Source organism: Homo sapiens, chromosome Y (assembly GCF_000001405.40).
Source record: "Homo sapiens chromosome Y, GRCh38.p14 Primary Assembly".
Taxonomy (NCBI): domain Eukaryota; kingdom Metazoa; phylum Chordata; class Mammalia; order Primates; family Hominidae; genus Homo; species Homo sapiens.
The window spans coordinates 434,460-460,641 of NC_000024.10; the positions used below are offsets into that span (position 1 = coordinate 434,460).

The 26,182-nt window shown below is 48.6% G+C and overlaps 1 long non-coding RNA gene across 2 annotated transcripts in view, besides 8 other annotated features; it reads left to right on the forward strand.

The window, feature by feature from the left end:
- LOC102724521 (uncharacterized) overlaps positions 1 to 26,182 on the forward strand; it is a 42,736-nt gene that overhangs the window by 4,439 nt on the left and 12,115 nt on the right. The window contains exons 3-7 of one of the 2 annotated variants that reach the window (XR_001756015.2): positions 1,118 to 1,232; positions 3,145 to 3,311; positions 6,855 to 6,927; positions 7,161 to 7,465; positions 24,999 to 25,611. This is a non-coding gene — a long non-coding RNA (uncharacterized LOC102724521). Of the gene's footprint in view, positions 1 to 1,117; positions 1,233 to 3,144; positions 3,312 to 6,854; positions 6,928 to 7,160; positions 7,466 to 8,252; positions 8,938 to 24,998; positions 25,612 to 26,182 lie in introns of those variants that run through there. The other variant, XR_007068454.1, reaches the window with a different exon arrangement.
- Positions 1,493 to 1,992: an enhancer, noted in NCBI's record as "H3K4me1 hESC enhancer chrX:396687-397186 (GRCh37/hg19 assembly coordinates)". NCBI's record gives its function as "activates a minimal SCP1, AML or CMV promoter by ChIP-STARR-seq in naive H9 embryonic stem cells {active_cell/tissue: H9 hESC(naive)}" and the evidence as "EXISTENCE:reporter gene assay evidence [ECO:0000049][PMID:30033119]".
- Positions 3,163 to 3,713: an enhancer, noted in NCBI's record as "CNE-5 PCR-amplified reporter construct fragment". NCBI's record gives its function as "enhancer in ovo in chicken limb buds" and the evidence as "EXISTENCE:reporter gene assay evidence [ECO:0000049][PMID:19997128]".
- Positions 3,163 to 3,756: an enhancer, noted in NCBI's record as "CNE-5 PCR-amplified reporter construct fragment". NCBI's record gives its function as "enhancer in human U2OS osteosarcoma cells" and the evidence as "EXISTENCE:reporter gene assay evidence [ECO:0000049][PMID:26631348]".
- Positions 3,290 to 3,411: a conserved region, noted in NCBI's record as "conserved region; CRCNE00011074 more deeply conserved sub-region". NCBI's record gives the evidence for it as "EXISTENCE:sequence alignment evidence [ECO:0000200][PMID:21731768]".
- Positions 3,452 to 3,614: a conserved region, noted in NCBI's record as "conserved region; CRCNE00011082 more deeply conserved sub-region". NCBI's record gives the evidence for it as "EXISTENCE:sequence alignment evidence [ECO:0000200][PMID:21731768]".
- Positions 11,415 to 12,248: an enhancer, noted in NCBI's record as "OCT4-NANOG hESC enhancer chrX:406609-407442 (GRCh37/hg19 assembly coordinates)". NCBI's record gives its function as "activates a minimal SCP1, AML or CMV promoter by ChIP-STARR-seq in naive H9 embryonic stem cells {active_cell/tissue: H9 hESC(naive)}" and the evidence as "EXISTENCE:reporter gene assay evidence [ECO:0000049][PMID:30033119]".
- Positions 11,415 to 12,253: a biological region, named in NCBI's record as "OCT4-NANOG hESC enhancers GRCh37_chrX:406609-407442 and GRCh37_chrY:356916-357447".
- Positions 11,722 to 12,253: an enhancer, noted in NCBI's record as "OCT4-NANOG hESC enhancer chrY:356916-357447 (GRCh37/hg19 assembly coordinates)". NCBI's record gives its function as "activates a minimal SCP1, AML or CMV promoter by ChIP-STARR-seq in naive H9 embryonic stem cells {active_cell/tissue: H9 hESC(naive)}" and the evidence as "EXISTENCE:reporter gene assay evidence [ECO:0000049][PMID:30033119]".

The window sequence follows — 26,182 nt, forward strand, 5'->3', positions numbered from 1 at the left end:
CAGTGTGGCGATTCCTCAGGGATCTAGAACTAGAAATACCATTTGACCCAGCCATCCCATTGCTGGGTATATACCCAAAGGACTATAAATCATGCTGCTATAAAGACACATGCACACGTATGTTTATTGCGGCACTGTCCACAATAGCAAAGACTTGGAACCAACCCAAATGTCCAACAACGATAGACTGGATGAAGAAAATGTGGCACATATACACCATGGAATACTATGCAGCCATGAAAAAGGATGAGTTCATGTCCTTTGTAGGGACGTGGATGGAATTGGAAATCATCATTCTCAGTAAACTATCGCAAGGACTAAAAACCAAACATATTCTCACTCATAGGTGGGAATTGAACCATGAGAACACTTGGACACAGGAAGGGGAACATCACACACCGGGGACTGTTGTGGGGTGGGGGGAAGGGGGAGGAATAGCGTTAGGAGATATACCTAATGCTACACCAACATGGCACATGTATACGTATGTAACAAACCTGCACATTGTCCACATGTACCCTAAAACTTAAAGTATAATAATAATAATAATAATAATAATAATAATAGTAATAATAAGCTGACCAGGATTTCCCCTCAGAAGGGCCCTTTCCCTGAGGGTCTTCGCTCCCCGAGGCGGACCCTACAGTGATCCGTGTGGGGGTTCCTGGGGCGGCGGTCGTCCCCTCCCGGGGGGTCTCCTGGCACCGATCTCACCTGCGGGAGCCTCTCCGGCCTGGCTCTTTGATGTGCAGAGATGGCGAAGAAGAAAATAACTTTAAAAATGGTGAGAAGCCGTCATTGAAGTTAACATAAAAGAGGATGACGCGGGGTGTTAATTGGTCTGTCTCTGGCATAATTTGGGCCCGGGAGACGGGGTCCCTGGGCCCCTCGCCCGAGAGCGGAGACTCACATCTTTAATTCAGCAATCTTTGTATTAATTACCTCCGCATAGGTACGCTTTGATTGGGAGCGCTTTCTTATAAAATCACAGCGATCGTCTGCCTTAAGATAAATAGATGAGAGTTGAGCTGGGGGAAGAAAAAAAAAAAAAAACAGTTCATTCGACTCTGAATATCAAATTCAGGATAAAACACCACTGATTCTCGGTCATTCTCAGTAGGGGAAGGAGCTTCTATTCTTGACCCAGCCCACGACACGTGCCGGGGCTGTCAGCGCCGTGAGAGGCACCTGTGTCTCCCCGAGCTGAGGACGGATGACATTTGTACCTACAGGTTTGTATACGGTCCTGGGAGGTGCCTCCTTGCCAGTGAAGGACCAGAACTCACGGCCGGCCATGGGTGCCCGGCGCCGGGATGGGCAGGAGCGGTGGCCCCAGGTCCCGGGTGTGGGTGAGGCCCCAGGAAAGAGGAGAATTCACTGGGAAAATGCAGAGCTGAGGGAAAAGACAGGGGTGTCCCGGGGACCCGTCCAGACCGCAGGATGGTGTGAGGCCGGGAGGTGGACGCGGCGGTGAGCTGTGATTGCGCCACTGCACTCCAGCCTGGGTGACAGGGCAACACCCTGTCTCTCTCTCTCTCTCTCTCTCTCTTTTTTGTTTTTGGAGATAGAGTCTCGCTCTGTCACCCAGGCTGGAGTGCAGGGGCGTGATCTCGGCTCTCTGCAACCTCCGCCTCCCGGGTTCAAGCCATTCTCCTGCTTCAGCCTCCCGAGTAGCTGGGATGACAGGCACCTGCCAGCACGCCCGGCTGATTTTGTATTTTTAGTAGAGATGGGGTTTCACCATGTTGGTCAGGCTGGTCTCGAACTCATGAGCTCAGGGGATCCGCCTGCCTCAGCCTCCCAGAGTGCTGGGATGACAGGTGTGAGCCACTGCGCCCGGCCAGGAATCAGTTTTTATTACGCTCAAAATCCCCTAAAAACTAGGCACCAGGGGAGGATGAACTGGCTCAGAGAGAAAGAGAGAGAGACACAGAGACAGAGACAAAGAGAGAGGCAGAGAGACAGAGACAAAGAGAAAGAGAGATAGAGAGAGAGAAAGAGAGACAGACGCAGAGAGACAAAGAGAGATGGAGAGACAGAGAAAGAGACACAGAGAGAGGCAGAGACAGAGAAAGAAAGAGAGGCAGAGACAGACGGAGAGATACAAAGATGGAGAGACAGAGAGAGACAGAGAGGGACAGAGAGATACAGATACAGAGAGAGACGTAGAGACACAGAGAGAGACAAAGACGGAGAGACAGAGAGAGACAGAGAGATACACACAGAGAGACAGAGACAGAGACAGCAGACGGAGAGAGAGAGAGATGGAGATGGAGAGAGACAGAGACACAGAGAGAGACAGACACAGAGAGAGACAGAGAGACAAAGATGGAGAGACAGAGACAGAGAGACAGAGACACACAGAGAGACAGAGACAGAGAGACACAGAGAGAGACAGACAGAGAGATGGAGAGACAGAGAGACACAGAGAGAGGCAGAGACAGAGACAGAAAGACAGAGAGGCAGAGACAGAGGGAGAGATACAAAGATGGAGAGACAGAGAGAGACAGAGAGGGACAGAGAGATACAGATACAGAGAGACGTAGAGACACAGAGAGAGACAAAGACAGAGAGACAGAGAGAGACAGAGAGATACACACAGAGAGACAGAGACACAGAGACAGCAGACGGAGAGAGACAGATGGAGATGGAGAGAGACAGAGACACAGAGAGAGACAGAGACACAGAGAGAGACAGAGAGACAAAGATGGAGAGACAGAGACAGAGAGACAGATACACACAGAGAGACAGAGACAGACACAGAGAGAGACAGACAGAGAGATGGAGAGACAGAGAGACACAGAGAGAGGCAGAGACAGAGAAACAGAGAGACAGAGAGACAGAGACACAGACAGAGACAGAGACAGGGAAGGAAGGAAGGGAGGGAGGGAAGGAGGAAATGAAACCAAAGAAAGGAAAGAAAAACCCCCAAGAGTCACAATCAATATACGTCCTGCACAAATTCCTGCAGTTTCCAGGAGGTTCCCGCAGCTCCCCGGGGCCCGCCACCCCCCGCCACCCCCCACCCACTCCCAGAGCCGCCTCCTTCAACACCCCGACGTGCTTCATCTACCACGAGGCCCACGGCGGCTTCCGGAATATGCGGCAACTTTTTATTTTTTTTTTATTTTTATTTTTTTTAAGGGGTAAAAAAAGATAAAGCAAACACGGAACAGCACACTCCTCCCGGCCTTCCTTCTTCTGACACCGTTTTCCTTTAGAAGATCTGAAACTACAAGTCAGGACATGACACGTGGAGCGTCCCAGGCACGCGCAGCCTCTGCTGTTTGATTTCCGACGTGAGTCTATAGGTGAGGCTGACAGGTTTCAGATGGAAGAGGCAGGGCAGACGCCTTTCAAGAGAGGCGCGTTGTCTGGGTAAATCCATCAAGGGTGCGTCCTGGGAGACGACGGGCCGCCTTTGTAGACAACGCCACGGCACGGGGGCCCCCCACGCTGGGCGCCCACCCCGGCTGGCTGACAGGCGGCCCCCGTTTCACCGTGATCACGAGTAAAAGCCAGTTCCCTGCAGGTTACGGGGCTGCTGTGTTTTGACATTGACCTTAATGCATAATTTAACCACAAAGCATATGAGGTACGTGCAACCAGATGAGGAAAGGCCACAGGACTGGCAGGTAACGTGATGCTGAATCAGAAAGGATGTTTGTTCCCGATCGTGCGGACGTGGGGGCCTCTGCCGAAGAGGCGGAGAGGGGAGGAGGGGGAGGAGGAGGCCGCGGTCGTGTCTGTCCCAGGGCTGTCGAGGAGAAGTCGGTCTGGGGTCCTGGATGAGGAGCAGAGCTCGGGGAGCTGTTAACATTTCCTGGGACAGCGATGGGCTTGGAGAGCCTCACTGTGCACACATGTGGCCTGTTTTTTTTATTTTTATTTTTAGTTTTTGAGATGGAGTCTCGCTCTGTTGCCCAGGCTGGAGTGCAGGGGTGTGATCTCGGCTCACTGCAACCTCCACCTCCCGGGTTCAAGCCATTCTCCTGCCTCAGCCTCCCGAGTAGCTGGGACTACAGGCGCCCGCCGCCACGCCCAGCTAATTTTTTGTATTTTTAGTAGAGACGGGGTTTCACCATGTTGGCCAGGCTGGTCTCGAACTCCTGACCTCCGGATCAGCCCGCCTCGGCCTCCCAAAGTGCTGGGATGACAGGCGTGAGCCACCGCGCCCGGCTATGTGGCCTGTTTGCTGGGACGGAGCCGCTGGCATCCTGGCGGCAGCTTCAAAACACAGTCACAGTCTCAGGGGAGCAAAAGCACCCGGTCCCCATCACTGTCCCCAAGAAAGGGAGCAGCAGGGGGTTCCCGCGGCTGGCCAGGAAGCTGGGGACAAACGGTGGCGTACCTGAGCACCTGCATTCCCGCAGTGAAGGACAGGTCGACACGGGCAGCTTTGCTTCTCTCCTGGCCAGCTCGGTCAAGCTTCCTGCCTCTGGTGCCTGGAATGCAGAGTCCTGGGTGCGCAACAGGCATTGCCTGGGTGGGCTGGCGTTTTTGATTTGTTTTGTTTTTTTGAGACAGAGTCTCACTCTGTTGCCCAGGCTGGAGTGCAGTGGCGTGATCTCAGCTCACTGCAACCTCCGCCTCCTGGATCCAAGTCATTCTCCTGCCTCAGCCTCCCGAATAGCTGGGATTACAAGCACCTGCCACCGCACCGGGCTAATTTTGTATTTGTAGTAGAGACGGGGTTTCACCGTGTTGGCCAGGCTGGTCTCGAACTCCTGACCTCAGGTGATCCACCCACCTCGGCCTCCCAAAGTGCTGGGAGGGTTGGTGTTTTTATGACCTTCACACAGACCCCAGAGCTGGTGTTGGAGGAGGGTGCAGAGACCCCAGGAGGTACCCTGGAAAGGAGCCCAATAGGAAGACCCAGGACTCTAGGGCAGCAGGTTCAAGCCTGCTCAGCTGGGAAGACCGTTTCCTTCAGGAGTGTGGCGGGTTCCACACGGCGGGTTGGAGACATGCACCTGCCCAGGCTGGGCCACTCAGGGTTCACGCCGGGGCACTGAGTATTTTGGGGGTGCAATGAACTCTGCACAACGCACCAGGGTGGGGGCAGAGATGAATCAAAGAAGACAGCTGTTTGTGTGTGAGCTTCCCTGGCCTGTGCACACAGAGACAGACATACACACCCACACACACACAGGCACACAGATGCCTGTACACATACATTCACACCCAGACACACATATGCATTCGTACGCACCTACACACACATCTGTACACACACATTCACACCAACACACAGACATACATTCATACACACCTGCACACACACACACGTACACACACTCCTATACACATACATTCACACCCACACACAGACATACGCACCCACACACACATTCATACACACCTGCACCACACACAGGCGCACACACTCCTGTACACACACATTCACAACCCCACACGTACACACCAGGACACACACATTCATATACACCTGAACACAGGTGCACACACACGCCTGTACACATCCATTCACACCCACACACAGACATACACACCTGTACACACACATTCATACACGCACACACACACGGGTACACACGCCTGTACACGTTCACACCCACAGACATATACACAGACACACCTGCACACACACACACAGAGGCACATGCACACACACACCTGTACACATACATTCACATGCACACACAGACACAGCCCCCCACACACACAGGTGCACACACACGCCTGTACACATACATTCACACCTACACACAGACACACACCTGTACACACACATTCATACACACATGCACACACACACGGGTACACACGCCTGTACACGTTCACACCCACAGACATATACAGACACACCTGCACACACACACACAGAGGCACATGCACACACACACCTGTACACATACATTCACATGCACACACAGACACACCCCCCACACACAGGTGCACACACATGCCTGTACACATACATTCACACCTACACACAGACATACACACCTGTACACACACACACACAGACACACCCCCCCCACACAGGTGCACATACACGCCTGTACACATACATTCACACCTACACACAGACATACACATCTGTACACACACACATTCATACACACACAGATACACACCCACGCACACACAGGTGCACACACACGCTTGTACACATACATTCACACCCACACACAGACATATACACACAGACATTCATACACACCTGCACAGACACACACATACACAGGCCCATGCACGCACACCTGTACACACACACACCCACACACAGACATACACATCTGCGTGGCAAACATTGACCCCTTCCTCAGGCTGCTGCTGCTGCTGCAAATGTTACTCAGCGATCGTCCAGCCCAGGCTGCAGGCCGACCCTGAGGGCCCTGGAGGCCTCATAAACCACACGTCCGGCCTCGGCTGATTCCACAAGGCTCCGTGGAGCTACCTGTGCAGGGGGGAGAGGCGTGAGGCTCAAAGGGGCCCTGGACGCAGGGACAGACGTTTCTTTACAGACACCCACGTGAGGCAGACAAACCACACATATGTCTCCAACCACACATGGTAATTCGTGAGGATGAAGAGATGAAGGCCCCAGGCCATATTCCCTTTGTGCTGTCCTGGTCTAGCGTGAAATGTTAATTTTTGCCTTTTTTCGTGTACAAAGGGGCCCTTAGGTTGTTAGATGTTCCTGCTTTCATAGTAGACGCATGTGGACTTTTCGTGGTATTTTGTTGTGTTTCTACTGCTTGTTGGAGGCAGAAAAAGCGACTCGTCAATGTTTTATAATGAAAATGAAAAGTATGAAAGGTGAGTGTGAAGTTGTAACAGACATACTTTTGTGAATTTTGGTGATTTTTTTTGTTTGTTGGTTTCAGTCTTTGGAAAAAATCTGTGGTTGGCCGGGCGCGGTGGCTCACGCCTGGCATCCCAGCACTTTGGGAGGCCGAGGTGAGTGGATCATGAGGTCAGGAGATCGAGACCATCTTGGCCAACGTGGTAAAACTCCATCTCTACTAAGAATACAAAAAATTAGCGGGGTATGGTGGCGGGCACCTGTAGTCCCACCTACTTGGGAGGCTGAGGCAGGAGAATCGCTTGAACCTGGGAGGTGGAGCCTCCCCAGATGCACGGCTGTGTCCCAGTCCAGGTTCCAAAGGGGCTTTGTGGATCTTTTTCTGCAGACCGAATGAATGCTTTGTCCTGCCAAGTCCTACGTTGAAACCCTGAACCCCAAGGTCAGAGTGTTACTAGTGGGGGGTCTTTGGGAGGTGAGGAGGTCGTGATGGTAGAGTCTCACGAATGGGATTAGTATCCCCATAAAAGGGACACCAGAGCTTCCTCTCTCTCTGTCTCTCTCTCTGTCTCTTTCTCTCCACCCCGCACCATGGAATGACACAGCAAGAAGGTTGCCGTCTGCAAGCCAGGAAGGGAGTCCTCACCAGGAGCTGAGATGTTGCTACTTTGATCTTGGACCTCCAGTCTTCATGTGTGTGAGAAATCAATGTCTGTTGTTTAAGCCCTGTGGTTTGTGGTACTTTGCTGTAGATTTTCTTTCTTTCTTTCTTTCTTTTTGAGACTGAGTCTCACTCTGTCGCCCAGGCTGGAGTGCAGTGGTGTGATCTTGGCTCACTGCAACCTCTGCCTTCTGGGTTCAAGTGATTCTCCTGCCTCAGCCTCCTGAGTAGCTGGGACTACAGGCACCTGCCACCACACCTGGCTGATTTTTATATTTTTAGTAGAGACGGGGTTTCACCATGTTGGCCAGGATGGTCTCAATCTCCTGACCTCGTGATCCACCCGCGTCAACCTGCCCAAGTGCTGGGATTATAGGCATGAGCCACCGTGCCCGGCAATTCTATCTATCTGTCTGTCTGTCTGTCTGTCTGTCTGTTTGTCTGTCTATCTATCTATCTGTCTATCCATCCATCCATCTAATCCATCCATCCATCTATCATCTATCTATCCATCTATCTTTTGGGTTTTTTTTGAGACAGAGGAGCTGAAACATAGTGAGAGGTTTCTATACCCAGAGAGCTCAACCTCTAGGGTGGAGAAGTTTAAACATTCACTAAACTGGCTTTCATTTAGTAATTGGTGCAGAGCAAAGAGAGACATTTGTGTATGTGTGTGTGTGTGTTTTCACATCACAATATATCATTCTCTTCTCTTCATTTTGTCTCATTTTTCAGAAGCAACAAAAAGGAGAAGATAAGTTTATTTCCATGCAGAGAAGGGAGAGTTTGCTTTCCATTTTATTTTATTTTATTTTTCAGATAGAGTTTCACCCTTGTCGCTCAGGCTGGCGTGCAATGGCGCAATCTCGGCTCACTGCAACCTCCACCTCTGGGGTTCAAGCGATTCTCCTGCCTCAGTCTCCCAAGTAGCTGGGATTACAGACACCCGCCACCACACCACACTGCAACCTCTGCCTTCTGGGTTCAAGTGATTCTCCTGCCTCAGCCTCCTGAATAGCTGGGACTACAGGTGTCTGCCACCACACCCGGCTGATTTTTGTATTTTTAGTAGAGACGGGTTTTTACCATGTTGGCCAGGCTGGTCTTGAACCCCTGACCTCAGGTGATCCTCCCGCCTTGGCCTCCCAAAATGCTGAGATGACAGGCATGAGCCACCATGCTCGGCTGAGTTTGCTTTCTTTGGAGAGCAAACAGATAGCCCCACCAGAAATGTACTTATTTACTTAGTTGCTTGCATGTTTGGAGTGGATGTTGGAGTTTTTCTCAGCCAGGGAGGTGAGAAAGTCTCCATCAAGTACTCATTCATTCATTCATTCATTCGTTCATTCAATTCAACTTTGAATTTAAAAGTGGAGAGTTCCCCTCCGTCTGACCACAAAGTGATGTGCAGAAGTAGCTTCATTTTAAACCTGCAGATAAGATGGATCGGTCTCTGATTTGTAATTAGAAGTGCAGCAGATAACGAGACAATCTGAATGTCCTACCAAGTCTTTGACCTGTTCTTTGGGAGGTGGCATAACCTTATCTTCAATCATCAAGGCTGCACGTGGAGGAGTTATTCAGGCAGCTGAAAATATCACCCCAGATCTTGCAGAGGAAGCAACCTAGGAGTCGGAGTGTCCCTGCAGATGCTCCACACACGGGTGGGATATAGAAGGAGTGGAGGTGGACGAGGTCTAAGGAGAACAAGGAAAAGGACATGAGAGGATCAGAGAAGACCTCAATAGCTTAGCCAGGGAAGGAATTCATGGGAAAAACATTAGGGGAATTTATAGTCTTGGCAGGGAACCCAAAGATGGAGACTCAGACAACAGGGCAGAACCCAAGGGAGGAAGGTGGTCGGGGAGGACTCTCCAAGCTGCCTCTGGGCTCTGGAGATGTTGCTGTGGTCATGAGGAATTTCTGTCCTGCAGCTGATTTCCTTTATTCTCTCAAGGTTCCAAGTGCTGGGCAGAAAGTCCAGCTCCCTGGATGCCAGGATGGGGGGGATAGAGAATGTATGAGGCTCCAGGATGCCAAAGAGGGAGGTGACGCTGGTTCCCACTGAGACGTGTGAGGCAGGAATGACCCCAAAATGACAAGGCTCCGAGTCCCAGCACGATGATTCAGCTTCCCCATCTCACGTGTTCATGGAAGGAGCATGAGGAACTCAGGCATCAGGAAGAAAGTGCCCTCGGTTTGGGGTGGGGCGAGCTTTGGGAACCTCAGGAAACATTTCACGATGACCAACAGGATCAGCCAGTGGGAGAGGAAGAGGAGATTTGTTGCAACCTTGAGGTGGGTTCACTGTGGACACAAATCAGAGGCAGGACAGCCACAGAGAGGACCAACTATTGGCCACGTGTGGGTAAGAGGAAAGAATTGTGACTGGGTTCACAGTGCAGGGGGCATGGATTGAAAAGCAGGACACATCTTCCTCTCTTCTGGTTTCATTGAGCCTTTGCTAAATAGAAGCTAGAATCTCATAGACCTGGTGGCAGCTGTCTTACTCCCTTGGTGTTGATATGGCAGAATGCCATAGACTGCATGGCTTAGAAACAATAAGAATTTACTGCTCACAGCTCTAGAGGCTGGGAAGTCTCAGATCAACGCGTGGTAGATTTGGTGTTTGGTGGGGAAAGTCCCAGATCAAGGCGTGGTAGATTTTGTGTTTGATGGGGACCTGTTTGCTCATTCATAGACGGTGCCATCAGGCTGTGTCCTCATATGGTGAAAGGGGTGAGGGAGCTCTCTGAGGTCCCCCCTTTTTTTGAGATGGAGTTATGCTCTTGTACCCCAGGCTGGAGTGCGATGGCACGATCTTGGCTCGCTGCAACCTCTGCCTCCTGGGTTCAACTGACTCTCCCGCCTCAGCCTCCCAAGTAGCTGGGATTATAGGTGTCCACCACCAAGCCTGGCTAATTCTTGTATTTTTAGTACATATGGGGTTTCACCATGTTGGCCAAGCTGGTCTCGAACTCCTGACCTCAGGTGATCCTCCTGCCTTGGCCTCCCAAAATGCTGGGATTACAGGCATGAGCCACCGTGCCTGGCCTGGGGTCCCCCACTCCTTTTTTTTTTTTTTTTCCTTTTTTAGATGGAATTTTGCTCTGTTGCCAGGCTGGAGTGCAGTGGTGCGATCTCAGCTCACTGCAACCTCTGCCACCCGCATTCAAGGGATTCTCCTGCCTCAGCCTCCCAAGTAGCTGGGATTACAGGTGTCCACCACCACGCCTGGCTAATTTTTGTATTTTTAGGAGAGACAGGGTTTCACCATTGTTGGCCAGGCTGGTCTCGATCTCTTGACTTTGTGATCTGCCAGCCTCGGCCTCCCAAAGTGCTGGGATTACAGGCCTGGGGTCTGTAATTTTTATAAAGGCACTAATCCCATTCATGAGGCTTCATCCTCACAATCTCATCACCTTCCAAAACTCTACTTCCTAACACCATCACCTTAGCGGTTAGGGATTCAACATAGCAATTTGTCGGGGGAACACGACATTCAGTGTATACTGACCGTTGTTCTTCAAACACCTGCTAAATTATAATTAATATCATTATGGGAGAACACCCTTACCATAGAATATTCCCACCACCAGGATCTCCGTGATATACCTTCCAACTCTGCAAAATAACAAAACAGCAAAACAACACAACGCAAACGGAATAAAACCCTTTTCTTTTGACTGAGTGCAGGGCAAGTTAGAAAACTCCCCAAAGATGAGTTTCTCCTCCTTTTTTTTTTTTTTTTTTTGAGTTATGAGCAGAAAAAGTTTGGACACTTTCGCAGAACTCAGAAACATATTAATTTTTCACGGCCTCGTAAGTCAAAAATGGCTTGTCCAATTTGCTTCAAACTTCGCAGCCTGATAGAAAGCCCCAGAACTTTCCAGCCAGAGAAGATATTTTGTCAGAGTTGGAAGGAGGTCAGAAGAGGGCATTAATGTGGAGGATGTGAAGACCTGGGCCCCGACCCTTGATGGGCCTATCTGTAATTAGCTGGAGCCCTCCCCCGGATTTGGGGTTGACAGACGCTCAGGACAGCACGATGATCTCAAGGGCGTCAAAGGGCAAAGCTTCCCCATCAATGGCTCTGTTTGGAGAGGGAGTAGCTGGGGGAGTCAGGGACTCAGCGTGGGGCTCACACCCTCTTTTACCGAGCACTTCTGATTTATATTATAAAAATCTCATTTTCAGAAAAGAAGGGAGTTTTACATGGGATAGGGTGGTGTGAAATCAGCAAATCAGCAAAAAGAAAACAAAACAAAAACGCTTTTCAGGAAAACGATGATGGATTTGGGTGGGGAGAGGGCAGAGCTCCTGGGACCTGATTACTGTTAATTTGTAATCCAGGGAGGTCCTGAGCCTGGTGAAATATTAATGCTTGAGAAAGGCCACTGTCTTCTGATTCTTTCTGTGCTTTTGGGACAATCCCAATGGATGCAACACACCCCCGCGTTGATTTATTTATGTTCACAGCATGGCCGAGGCAGCAGGAGACCCCAAGTTGTATTCAAAATATCCAAAAGGGGCTTTTCTTTTTCCCTTTGTTTATTCAAAATATTCAAAAAGGGCTTTTCTTTTTCCCTTTGTTTCCGCGATTTCTGCGCTGTTGGCTGAAAGTGCTCTGAGTTCACGCGCTACGGGGGGTGACTTCCATTTCTGCAGACAGCAGCCTTGGGGATGGCCTGGCGAGGGCTAGGAATACCACACCCTGATCCCATTCTTCCTGGCTCAGTCCTGACTGTGAGAGTCACGGTGGACTCTGGGTTTTTCGGTTTTTTTGTTTGTTTGTTTTTTTGTTTTTTGTTTTTTTTTTTTGACAGGGAGTCTCGCTCTGTCGTCCAGGCTGGAGTGCAGTGGTGCACCCTAGGCTCACTGCAACCTCCGACTCCTGGGTTCGATTCTACTGCCTCAGCCTCCCGAGTAGCTGAGACTACAGGCACCGGCCACCACGCCTGGCTAATTTTTTTTATTTTTTAAATAGAGATGTGGTTTTGCCGTGTTGGCCAGGCTGGTCTCGATCTCCTGATCTCAGGTGATCCACCTGCCTCGGCCTCCTAAAGTGCTGGGATTATAGGCGTGAGACACCATGCCTGGCCTCTGAACTCTGTTTTAAGTTTTTTTTTTTTTTTAATTGAGGTGAGTTTCACGAAACATGCAATCAACCATTTTATTTTTATTACTTATGTATTTATTTTGAGACAGGGTCTCGCTCTGCTGCCCAGGCTAGGGTGCACTGGTGCAATCACAGCTCACTGCAGCCTCAATGTCCTGGGCTCAGGTGATCCTCCTGCCTCAGCCTCCTGAGTAGGTGAGACCGTGGGCATGCCCCACCATGCCTGGCTAATTTTTGTATTATTACTATTTTCTTGGTAGAGACAGGGTCTCACTGTGTTGCCCAGGCCCATCTTGTACTCCTGGTCTCAAGCGATCCTCCTGCCTCGGCCTCCCAAAGTGCTGCAATTACACAGGTGAGGCAACGCAGCCAGCAACCCTTTCAAGCAGAAGGATTTGTTGGTATTTACTGAATTCACCTTGTTGTGGTAGCATATCATCTACATAATACCAGAATATTGTCATCCCTCAAAAACAGAGCCAGGAGAAGAACTGCCCATTTTCCCTCCCCATTCCCAGGCAACTCAAAATCTTCCTTCTGTCTCTATGGGTTTGCCTGTTCTACACATTTCGTATATGATGGGAATAGGCTTTTTTTTTTTTTTTTTTTTTTTTAGAAAGAGTCTCGCTCTGTCAGCCAGCCTGGAGTGCAACGGTGTAATCTCGGCTCAGTGCAACCTCCACCTCCTGGGTTCAAGCGATTCTCCTGCCTCAGCCTCCTGAGTAGCTGGGATTACGGGCACCCCCCACCACACTCAGCTAATTTTCTTTTCTTTTTTCTTTCTTTCTTTCTTTTTTTTGAGATGGAGTCTCGCTCTGTTGCCCAGGCTGGAGTGCAGTGGCACGATCTCAGCTCACTGCAATCTCCGCCTCCTGAGGTCAAGTGATTCTCCTGCCTCAGCCTCCCAAGTAGCTGAGATTACAGGTGCCCACCATGCCAGGCTAATTTTCTTTTTTTGAGATGGAGTCTTGCTCTGTCGCCCAGGCTGGAGTGCAATGGTGAGATCTCGGCTCACTGCAACCTCCACCTCCTGGGTTTAAGTGATTCTCCTGCCTCAGCCTCCTGAGTAGCTGAGATTACAGGTGCCCACCATGCCAGACTAATTTTCTTTTTTCTTTTTTCTTTTTTTTTTTTTTTGAGATGGAGTCTTGCTCTGTCGCCCAGGCTGGAGTGCAGTGGTGTGATCTCAGCTCACTGCAACCTCTGCCTCCTGGGTTTAAGTGATTCTCCTGCCTCTGCCTCCTGAGTAGCTGGGATTACAGGTGCCCGCCACCATGCCCAGCTAATTTTCTTTCTGGTTTTTTTTTTTTTTTTTTTTTTGAGACAGAATCTTACTCTGTTGCACAGGCTGGAGTGCAATGGCATAATCTTGGCTCAGTGCAACCTCTGCCTCCTGGGTTCAAGCGATTCTGCTGCCTTAGCCTCCTGAATAGCTGGGATGACAGGCACCCATCACCACGCTCAGCTAATTTTTGTGTTTTTAGTAGAGATGGGGTTTCTCCATGTTGGCCAGGCTGGTCTCGAACTCCTGACCTCAGGTGATCCACCCGCCTCAGCCTCCCAAAGTGCTGGGATTACAGGTGTGAGCCACTGCTCCTGGCCAAAAAATTATTTTTTATAGACCTGGGGTTTTGCTATGTTGCTCCGGGTGCTCTCCAATTGCTGGGCTCAAGCAATCCTTCCACCTCAGCCTCCCAAAGTGCTGGGATTACAGGCACGAACCGTAGCACCCGACCGGCCTCTTTATACTATTTTGCAGGAACATTACCTTGCTTTCAGTGAGTGCAGTTCCCACGAAAAAGCCGCGAGTATGGAGAAGTTTGCCTAGAAAACTTAGGCAGTTACTCCTTTTAGATAATTTAACTTCAAAGTCGAAACAGGGCATCGCAGAAAGGATCTGAATTTAGAGGTATGTTTTATTGAATCACTCAAGGCCTAGAAATAGAAATGATCAAAGGGTGTTTGCGAGCGTGCTTTCCAGCTTCTGAGGAGCTGAGCCCAGCTCACTAATGATGGCAATTGTGGTCATAGGTGACTCGCCCCCGAGCTGGGGGTGCCTCTGAGCGCCTCTGCCTTCCACCCTACTGGGGAGCAAGGCTGTGGGGCCACCTCTAATGATTGGTTGTTATTGTCTGAGGATATCTAGAAATTCAAGAGAGATCTACTTTATACTCTGGAAATGAAGAGCCTTTTGTATTCAGCAAAGGGATCGGTGTTGAGAGGGGGCTTCACGGGTGTACACCGTGGGGAGTATCCCTCCTGGGTTCCAAGCTCAGACAGGTGGCCCAAGACAAGATGTCTGGCTTTTTAAATTTTAATTTAATTTAATTTAATTTTAATTTAATTTTAATTTAATTTTAATTTAATTTAATTTTAATTTAATTTAATTTTAATTTTAATTTTAATTTTAATTAATTAATTAATTTATTTTCGAGACAGAGTCTCTCTCTGTCGCCCAGGCTGGAGTGCAGTGGCGCAATCTCGGCTCACTGCAAGCTCCGCCTCCCGGGTTCACGCCATTCTCCTGCCTCGGCCTCCAGAGTAGCTGGGACTACAGGCGCCCGCCACCACGCCCGGCTAATTTTTTGTATTTTTAGTAGTAGAGACGGGGTTTCACCGTGTTGGCCAGGATGGTCTCGATCTCCTGACCTTGTGATCCACCCACCTCGGCCTCCCAAAGTGCTGGGATGACAGGTGTGAGCCGCCACGCCCGGCCCGTTATTTTTATTTTTAGTACAGATGAGGCTTTTCTCTGTTGCCCAGGCTGAAGTGCAGTGACGTGATCAGGGTCCTTGCATTTTTTGTTTTGAGACAGGGTCTTGCTCTGTCGCTCAGGATGGACTGCAGGGATGTGATCCCAGCTCACTGCAGCCTCAGCCTCCTGGGCTCAAGCCATACTCCTGCCTCAGCCTCCTGAGTAGCTGGACTACAGGTGTGTGCCAGTATGCCTGGCTGTTTTTTTCTAAATGATTTTTTTTGGTAGAGATGGGGTCTCACTATGTCTCCCAGGCTGAAGCTCTGTGGTGTGATCATAGCTCACTGCAGCCTCGAACTCCTGAGCTCAACTGATCCTCCCACCTCAGCCTCCTGAAGTGCTGGGATTAGGGGGGTGAGCCACTGCACTCAGCCAACAGATAGAGATGGGGTCTCGCTATGTCTCCCAGGCTGAAGCTCTGTGGTGTCATCATAGCTCACTGTAGCCTCGAACTCCTGGGCTCAACTGATCCTCCCACCTCAGCCTCCTGAAGTGCTGGGGTTAGGGGGGTGAGCCACTGCACTCAGCCAACAGATAGAGATGGGGTCTCGCTATGTCTCCCAGGCTGAAGCTCTGTGGTGTCATCATAGCTCACTGTAGCCTCGAACTCCTGGGCTCAACTGATCCTCCCGCCTCAGCCTCCTGAAGTGCTGGGATTAGGGGGGTGAGCCACTGCACTCAGCCAACAGATAGAGATGGGGTCTCGCTATGTCTCCCAGGCTGAAGCTCTGTGGTGTCATCATAGCTCACTGCAGCCTCGAACTCCTGAGCTCAACTGATCCTCCCACCTCAGCCTCCTGAAGTGCTGGGATTAGGGGGGTGAGCCACTGCACTCAGCCAACAGATAGAGATGGGGTCTCGCTATGTCTCCCAGGCTGAAGCTCTGTGGTGTCATCATAGCTCACTGCAGCCTCGAACTCCTGGGCTCAACTGATCCTCCCGCCTCAGACTCCTGAAGTGCTGGGATTAGGGGGGTGAGCCACTGCACTCAGCCAACACATCTGTAAATATGCCTAAGGCATCTATACCGTAGTAGGTTTGCTACAAGGATCAAGCAAGATAGTGTTCTGGAAATACAAGCCTCACCCTTACGAAGCTGTTTCAGCAGGTGTAACAAATGGCCGTTCACAGAGTGGCTCAAAAAAACACACATTTGGCCAGGCGTGGTGGCTCATGCCTGTAATCCTACCACTTTGGGAGGCTGAGGTCGGAGGATTGCTTGAGACCAGAAGTTTGAGACTATAGCCTGAGCAACAGAGTGACGTAGTGATACTTTGTTTCTAGAAAAATAAAAAAAAAAATAATTAGCCGGGTGTAGATGGGGGGGGGGGGTGGTCTGTAGTCCCAGCTACTCGGGAGGCTGAGGCAGGAGGATCCTTTGAGCCCGGGAGTCCGAGGCCGTACTGAGCTAGGATTGCACCACTGCACTCCAGCCTGGGCGACAGGGCGAGACTCTGTCTCAAAACAGAAAACAACAAGAACAAGAAGCCCCCCGAAAAAACAAGAAGTCCTGCCCACTCTTTTTTTTTGAGACAGTTTTCCTCTTGTTGCCCAGGGTGGAGTGCAATGGCGTGATCTCGGCTCACTGCATTTTCTGCCTCCCGGGTTCAAGAGATTCTCCTGCCTCAGCCTCCTGAGTAGCTGGGAGTACAGGCACCTGCCACCACGCCTGGCTAATTTTGCATTTTTAGTAGAGATGGGGTTTCACCATGTTGGCCAGGCTGGTCTCGAACTCCTGACCTCATGTGATCCACCTGCCTCGGCCTCCCAAAGTGCTGGGATGACAGGCGTGAGCCACCCTGTCTGTCCCCTTTCCTTTATCTTTTACAACTCCAGGACTTTAGCATAAGCCTACAAGTCCTCCCCCTTCTTTTAAGATTTTTTTCCTCTTCGATTTCACTCAGCTGAGAGAAAGGGGAGACCTCCCCCCCTCCCTTTTCACCAAACACCTACTCATTTTCCCAAGCTGTACCCACCATACTCACAGCAAATTTCATTTAGGATAGACATTTTATTTTATTTATTTTTTTTTTCATTTTTTTGAGACAGAGTCTCGCTGTGTCGCCCAGGCTGGAGTACAGTGGCACGATCTCGGCTCACTACAACCTCCGCCTCCCGAGTTCAAGTGATTCTCCTGCCTCAGCCTCCGGAGTAGCTGGGATGACAGGTGCACGTCAACCTCAGCCCACAAGGTGGCCCAAGGCACACGGAGTTCACATTGTACCCACCATGGGTCGAAGGTGGGCGTCTGATTCCTCCTGAAGGGTGGGGAGCTGTGATGTGAACAGGCCACTTCAATGGGACAGGCGTGATCTCCATTTGGGACTAAATACAAGCCCATGGAGGGTCCACAGAGCACCAAGGGAAGCTGGCATTTCAAAACATCTGCCTCGTTTGTCTAAACCACACCACACCACACACCACTCTGGGGTCTGTTTGGCCACAGAGAATCCTCTAGCCCCAAATGTCAGCAGAGCTGAGGCTGAGAGACACTGACTGAGGGACTCTATCTATCATCTGTCAATCAATCAATCAATCATCTATCTGTCTATCCATTATCTATCTATTTATCCACCTATCATCTATCTATCTATCATCTATCTCTCTCTCATCCGTCCATCCATCGTCTATTCTATCTGTCATCTATGTATCTATCCATCTAGTCATCCATCTATCTATCCTGTGTGTATTTATCCATTCTATGTATCTATCTATGTATCTATCTATGTATCTATCTATGTATCTATCTATCTATCTATCTATCTATCTATCTATCTATCTGTCATCTATGTATCTATCCATCTATTCATCCATCTATCCTGTATGTATTTGTCCATCCATCCATCCATCTATTCTATCATCTATCTTCATCTATGTATCTATCCATCTATTCATCCATCTATCCTGCATGTATTTATCTATCCATCATCCATCTATTCTATCATCTATCATCTATGTATCTATCCATCTATTCATCCATCTATCCTGCATGTATTTATCTATCCATCCATCCATCTATTCTATCATCTATCTATCATCTATGTATCTATCCACCTATTCATCCATCTATCTTGTATGTATTCATCCATCCATCCATCTATTCTATTATCTATCTATCATCTATTCATCCATCTATCTATCCTGCATGTATTTATCTATCCATCCATCCATCCATCTATTCTATCATCTATCTGTCTTCTATGTATCTATCCATCTATTCATCCATCTTGTATGTATTTATCCATCCATGCATCTACTCAACCATCCCTCCTCTATTTATCATCTCTATCATCTGTAAGTCAATCAGTTTATCCATCATCTATCAATCACCCACATCTATCTTTATTATCTATCACCTGTCTATTTATCTATCTATCCTGTATGTATTTATCCATCCATCCATCCCTCCATCCATCCATTCCCTGTCTATCTCTATCATATAGAGAAAAATGGCAGCCGCGTCCACACTGGCCTCAGAACTCTCTGGTGAGGTTGCACCAATGAAGCAACAGATTGTGAGGATGTCACTTTTCTGGTTTTTTTTTTTTCAAGATGGAATCTCACTCTGTCACCCAGGCTGGAGTGCAGTGGCACGATCTCAGCTCACTGCAACCTCCACCTCCTGGGTTCAAGTGATTCTCCTGCCTCCGCCTCTTGAGGAGCTGGGACTACAGGTGCTCACCACCACGCCTGGCTAATTTTTGTATTTTTAGTAGAGATGGGGTCTCACCGTGTTGGCCAGGCTGGTCTTGAACTAGTGACCACAGGTGATCTGTCTGCCTCGGCCTCCCAAAGTGCTGGGATTACAGGCATGAGCCACCGTGCCCAGTGACGTCACTTTTCTTTGAATAGTTTAGATCAAACCGCACCAACTGTATGTGACTTTGTTATATCTTTTATTATATGTATAACAGAAATACATAGTTATATGTGTTGTATTTGGAAGTGTATCACTGAATGTGGTTCTGAGGACCTTGGGGAATTATTTAATTTAATTTAATTAATTTATTGTAGAGATGGGGTGTCATGAGGTTGCTCAGACTGATCTCAAACTTCTGGGCTCAAGGGATCCTCCCTCCCTTCTCGGCCTCCTAAAGTGCTGGGATTACAAGTGGGAGCCACTGTGCCTGGCAGGGGGATTATTTTAAATGCTTCCTAAGCAAAATAAATAATGCATGAGACACTTACTGCATCTGCTCCTCAAATTCCTTCCAAAAGTGCTTTGGGGCCGGGTGCAGTGGCTCACGCCTGCAATCCCAGCACTTTGGGAGGCTGAGGTGGGAGGATCGCTGGAGCCAGGAGTTTGAGACCAGTCTGGGCAACATAGCAAGACCCCAGCTCTATAAAAAAAATATCTTGGGAGGCCGAGGCGGGCAGATCATGAGGTCAGGAGATCGAGACCATCCTGGCTGACACGGTGAAACCCCGTCTCTACTAAAAATACAAAAAATTAGCTGGGCGCGGTGGCGGGCGCCTGTAGTCCCAGCTACTCGGGAGGCTGAGGCAGGAGAGTGGCGTGAACCCGGGAGGCAGAGCTTGCAGTGAGCCGAGATCACGCCACTGCACTCCAGCCTGGGCGACAGAGTGAGACTCTGTCTCAAAAAAAAAAAAAAAAAAATCAGGTAGATGTGGTGGTTTCCACCTGTAGTCCCAGCTCCTGGGGAGACTAAGGTGGGAGCATTCCTTGAGCCCAGGACGTCGAGGCTGCAGTGAGCCAAGATCGTACCACAGCTCTCCAGTCTGGGCAATAGAGTTAGCTTCTCATCTCTGCAAAAATAAAGATTAAAAAAAATACTCTCATTGTTCAACTCCCACTTAGGAGTAAGAACTTGCGGTGTTTGGTTTTCTGTTCCTGTGTGAGTTTGCTGAGAATGATGGTTTCCAGCTTCGTCCATGTCCCTGCAAATGACAGGAGCTCACCCTTTTTCATGGCTGCATAGTATTCCATGGTGTCTGTGTGCCACATTTTCTTTATCCAGTCTATCATTGATGGGCATTTGGGTTGGTCCCAAGTCTTTTGCTATTCCCAGCAGGTTTTCAAAGCCCGTCGTCTTTGCTTAGCGTGCACCATGATGTCGGCTCTCTGAATTCACCGTCTTTCTAGATGAGTCCCAGAGTTTTTCTTCATCACTCAGTATTTGGCAACAGGGAAGTTTTTCTAAGCAAGTCAACCCATCAATGATAGACTGGATAAAGAAAATGTGGCACATAGACACCATGGAATACTATGCAGCCATCAAAAAGGATGAGTTCATGTCGTTCGCAGGGACATGGATGAATCTGGAATCCATCATTCTCAGCAAACTCACACAGGAACAGAAAACCAAACACTGCATGTTCTCACTCCTAAGTGGGAGTTGAACAATGAGAACACATGGACACAGGAAGGGGAACATCACACACCCGGGCCTGTCGAGGGCTGTGGGGCTGTGGAAGGGATTGCATTAGGAGAAATTCTCACCATCTATGAACCCCTCATTTCCTCATCGGGAAAAATGTACCTGAAAATAGCGCCTGCCTCTGAGTGTTGTGGTAAGGAAGCAATGCCATTATTTATGTCTCATGCTGTGGCTTGAGACTGTGTCTGTTTATGCTGCTCTGGTTTGTGGTGGAGGCTGCCGTCTGTCAGCCTCTGCACCTGCCGTCTGTCAGCCTCTGCACCTGCTCTGAAGTTTTCCTCTCGGTGGTACCCACCCATCATCCTGCTGCCCTTGAGTTCCCAGGAGCCCACAGGAGCTGCACTTTCTCCAGGCCTTTTGCCGGTGGAGCTGCCTCTTGGATTGTGCGTCTCCATCCGATGCACTCTGTTTTCATGTGAAAATCCATGGGAATAAAAAGGCTCTTTTCGTGCTGAAAAATTGAGCCCAGGGGTTCAGCCAGCAGAGGACTCTGTGGGTATAAATATGAATGGAGAGGATTCTAAATATATAGCAGAGCAGAAGTCAGATGTTTGTGGAGAGGTGAAACGGCCTGGCCAGGTTCTTGGAACTTTAGAAATGAGGATGGCTTCCGGGGGAACTGGGGAGCGACCGTTCTCAACTGGGGATGAACATGCACCCCGACGGACACTCGGCACTGTCTGGGGCGGTTCTGGGTGTGGTAACTGGGAGGGGGGTGCTCCTGGCACCTGGTTTGTGGAGCCCGGGGATGCTGCTCACCACCTTACAGTGACCACAGAGAATCCTCCAGCCCCAAATGTCAGCAGAGGTGAGGCTGAGAGACACTATCTGAGGGACTCTATCATCTGTCAATCAATCAATCAATCTCTCAATCTATTATGCATCTATCTATCTATCTATCTATCTATCTACCCACCTATCATCTATCATTTATCTATGTATCTATGTATCTATGTATCTATCTACCTATCATCTATCTATCATCTATCTATGTATCTATCTATGTATCTATTATCTATCTATCCACCTATCATCTATCTATAATCTCTCTCTCTCCCAACCATCCATCTATCCATCCATCCATCCATCTATCCATCTATCCATTATCTATCATACATCTATCTATTCATCCATCCATCATCTATCATCTCTATCATCTATAAATCAATTTATCCATCATCTGTCATTCATCCATCCATCACCCATCTTTATTATCTATCATCTATCTATCCATCTATCATTCATCTATCATCTACCCATCCATTACCTATCTATCTCTATCATATATAAATCAATCAATCTATCATCTATCATCCACCAATCTACCTATTTATCTAGATCTGCCTATCTACCTTTATCTATTATCTATCATCAATCTTTATTATCTATCTATCATCTATCTACAGATCTATTTATTGACCCATTATCTATCTATCATCTATCTACCTATCTATCTAATCTGTGCTTTTCAGCTGCTGCCGATTGTCTCCTCTGAGGACACTTTGTCAGTCTCTGGGGACACTTTTGGTTGTCTGGATTGTGGAGTGAGGGTGCTTCTGGTCGCTGGTGGGTGAAGCCCAGGGACACTGCTCAACACCCTACAGTGCACAGATCAGCCCCACCAGAGAGAATCGTCCAGTCCCATGTGTCGGAAGTACCAGGGCTGAAAGACACTGCCTGAGGCTGAGACAATCTCTGTTTGTCTATCTATCACCTATCAGTGATCTATCAGTCAATTATCTACCTATTAACTGTCTATATCAATTATCTGTCATACCTATCAATCAGCTATCATTAATCATCTGTCTATATCAATTATCCATCATACCTATCAATCAACTATCTATCATCAATCATCTATCTATACTAATTATCCATCATACATATCAATCAACTAACAATCATCAATCATCAAGCATCTATATCAATTATCCATCAAACCTATCAATCATATATCATCAATCATCTATCTGTGTGAATTATCCATCATACCTATCAATCAGCTATCAATCGTCAATCATATATCAATTATCCATCATACCTATCAATCAACCATCTATCAATCATCAATCTATATCAATTATCTGTCATACCTATCAATCATCAATCATCTATCTATATCAATTATCCATCATACTTATCAATCAACCATCTATCTATATGAATTATCCATCATATCTATCAATCAACTACCTATCATCAATCTATATCAATTATCCGTCACACCTTTCGATCAGCTATCTATCAATCATCAATCATCTATATCAATTATCCATCAAACCTATCAATCAACTATTTGTCAATTATCAATCATCTATATCAATTATGCATCATACCTATCAACTATCATCAATCATCTATCTATATGAATTATCCATCATACCTATCAATCAACTACCTATCAATCTATATCAATTATCCATCACACCTATCAATCAACTATTTATCAATTATCATCTATATCAATTATGCATCATACCTATCAACTATCATCAATCATCTATCTATATCAATTATCCATCATACCTATCAATCAGCTATCAATCATCAATCCTTGATCTATATCATTTATGCATCAATCATCAATCATCTGTATCAATTATCAATCATCTATTTACCTATCAAATCAACTATGTATCATCTTTCATCATATCTATCAATTGTCCATCAGTCAGTTATCTACCTGTCTATTCAATGGTTTGCAAACAGGATGATTTTCTTTTTCTGAGAAGAGGTCTCAAAACTTTGTTTTGGGCTGGGCACGGTGGCTCACACCTGTAATCCCAGCACTGTGGGAGGCCAAGGCGGACCGATCACCTGAGGTCTGGAGTTCGAGGCCAGCCTGGCCAACATGGTGAAACCCCGTCTCTACTAAAAATACAAAAACTAGCTGGGCGTGGTGGCGGGTGCCTGTAATCCCAGCTACTCGGGAGGCTGAGGCAGGATAGTTGCTTGAACCTGGGAGGCGGAGGTTGCAGTGAGCCGAGATTTTGCACTCCAGCCTGGGCAACAAGTGTGAAAATTCGTCTCAAAAATTAAAAATAAAAAATAAAATCTTCATTTTGTCCTGAGTTGAAACTGAAGGGCCGGCATCGTGCTTCCCAAAGATGTCCTGTTTTATGCTGGAGGTGGCAGTTTCTTGTATTTGCAGATATGTGTGAAAAACCAGACCTTGGCAATGACTTTGACAATAGGCGGTAAATAACTGCCAGATGCTTAGCGTTCCAATAATGGAATGCTAGGCATCGATAGGTTTAAGCCCCCTATGATTTTAGCACTGATATGGAAGTACGGGATTCCTTCATGGAGAAAATAAGACACTGGTTTTGCTTTCTGTTTTCTTTTCTTTCTTTTTTTTTTTTGAGAAGGAGTCTTGCTCTTGTACCCCCAGGCTGGAGTGCAATGGTACTATCTCGGCTCACTGCAACCTCCGCCTCCCAGGTTCAAGTGATTCTCATGCCTCAACCTCCAAAGTAGCTGGGGTTACAGGTGCACGCCATATCTGTGCACCATGCTGGCCAGGCTGGTCTCGAACTCCTGACCGCAGGTTACCTGCCCGAGCCACCACGCCTGGCCGCAAACACCGCATTTCAAATATACTGAGTCCTTCAGCTCGGAGGTCAGAAATGGCCAAGGGCGGCCGGGCCGGTGGCTCACGCCTGCAATCCTGCAATCCTAGCATTTTGAGAGGCCAAGGTGGGAGGATTGCTTGACGCCAAGGAGTTTAAGACCAGCCTGGGCAACATAGCAAGACCCCGATTTCTACACAAAATAAAAAAAAAATTAGTCAGGCGTGGTGGCTCACGTCTGTAGTCCCAGACACTGGGAAGTCCGAGGAGGGAGGATCGCCTGAGTCCAGGCGTCCGAGGCTGCAGTGAGCCATGATTGAGCTACTGCACTCCAGCCTGGGCAACAGAGCCAGACCCTGTCTTAAAAATAAAATAATAATTCAAAAAATAGGCCAGGCGCGTTGGCTCATGCCTGTAATCCCAGGACTTTGGGAGGCAGAGGTGGGCAGATCACCTGAGGTCGGGAGTTCAAGACCAGCCTGGCTAACACGGTGAACCCCCGTCTCTACTAAAAATACTAAAATCAGCTGGGCGTGGTGGCAGGTGCCTGTAATCCCAGCTACTCGGGAGGCTGAGGCAGGAGAATGGCTTGAACCCGGGAGGCGGAGGTTTCAGTGAGCCGAGACTGCGCCATTGCACCCCAGCCTGGGCAGCAAGAGCGAAACTCCGTCTCAAGAAAAGAAAAGAAAAAAAATGCTCAGGTACATTTTTGCTTTATTTCAGGATTTCTTTACGTTGCTGTGAAAACCTGGATGTTGGGGGCTCTGTCTGTGTATCGTAGACGGAGTTTTGAATTGCTCCAGTGAAACACAAGTATTTTACCTTACGCTGTCAACCTGCTGGGGGAAGCGTGAAGACAGTTTAACCTTCTGGCTCCGGTAATCATCTTGTCTCAGAGACCTCGGAGAGCTCCCAGAGCCTGGCTGCCACGGTGGTTCTATATACCCTCCAGCCCTGGCCTGCCTTGGGACACCCCTCTCCGCCTGCCGGCCCCAGAATTTCCCCACACACGCGGTCATCACAGCCCGAGATGTTTAATGACGGCTTCATGCACCAGGCTATTGCCCTAAACACGGGTGACAGGCCAAACACACACTAATTACCTAACTCAATTCAAGCCCGCCTGGCCCCGTGGAAAGGCTGAGCTGGGGATGCACGCAGGTGCCCCGTCGTTACCTCCGGATGTCAAATTGAAGTGAGGTTTTCCCGCATGAGCGGGGAGAGCTGTTTCTACGCACCAAGATTTCCACGGTTTGCAGGAGAAAGAGTTTTGTGTCTGCCCTCTGGACAGCCCTGTCAGTTTTATCAAGCGTGTCTGATTAAGGAATATTTAAAGGTATGTGTTCAGAAGCGTTTCTCCCCTTCTTTTGTGTGTGTGTGTGGCCATGTTTAAAAAAAACAAATGTAAAACCAGTTACAGGCAAAGTAGGCTAGTTTGGTGCTGAAATAACGCCGTCGTTCATGAGCCGGCTTAAATAATGCAGTTGTTAGAAACCAGCTCTCAAAGCTGTGGGTTGGCTGAGGAGGGTTAGTACGAGGTCCTGACCCCAAACCTGTGTGTATCTGGAGCCGGCGGGAGACATTTGGCCTGGAGTATGAGGCTGGCTGGACCTGGAAGGTCCTCAGCGTTAGAGGGACTGTTTCGGGAAGGTTTTCTGGCAGCTGAGTCCCAATTCCAGGAGGAAGTAGGCATTGAGTAGATAATTTCAGCTCCCCCATTGAAGCCGTCCAGCCTGCAGAGAAAGATAGCAGTGGCCCCCTGCCCTATCCCGGCAAAGCTGACCCCGAGAATGCCCGGGTCACAAGCCCAGGTGGACAGTGTCTCCTTGTGCCTCGGAAGAGAATTCTGCATTAGGAAGGAATCCAGGGGGAATGGGGAGAAAAGGCCCGAGATACGTGAGCAGAGG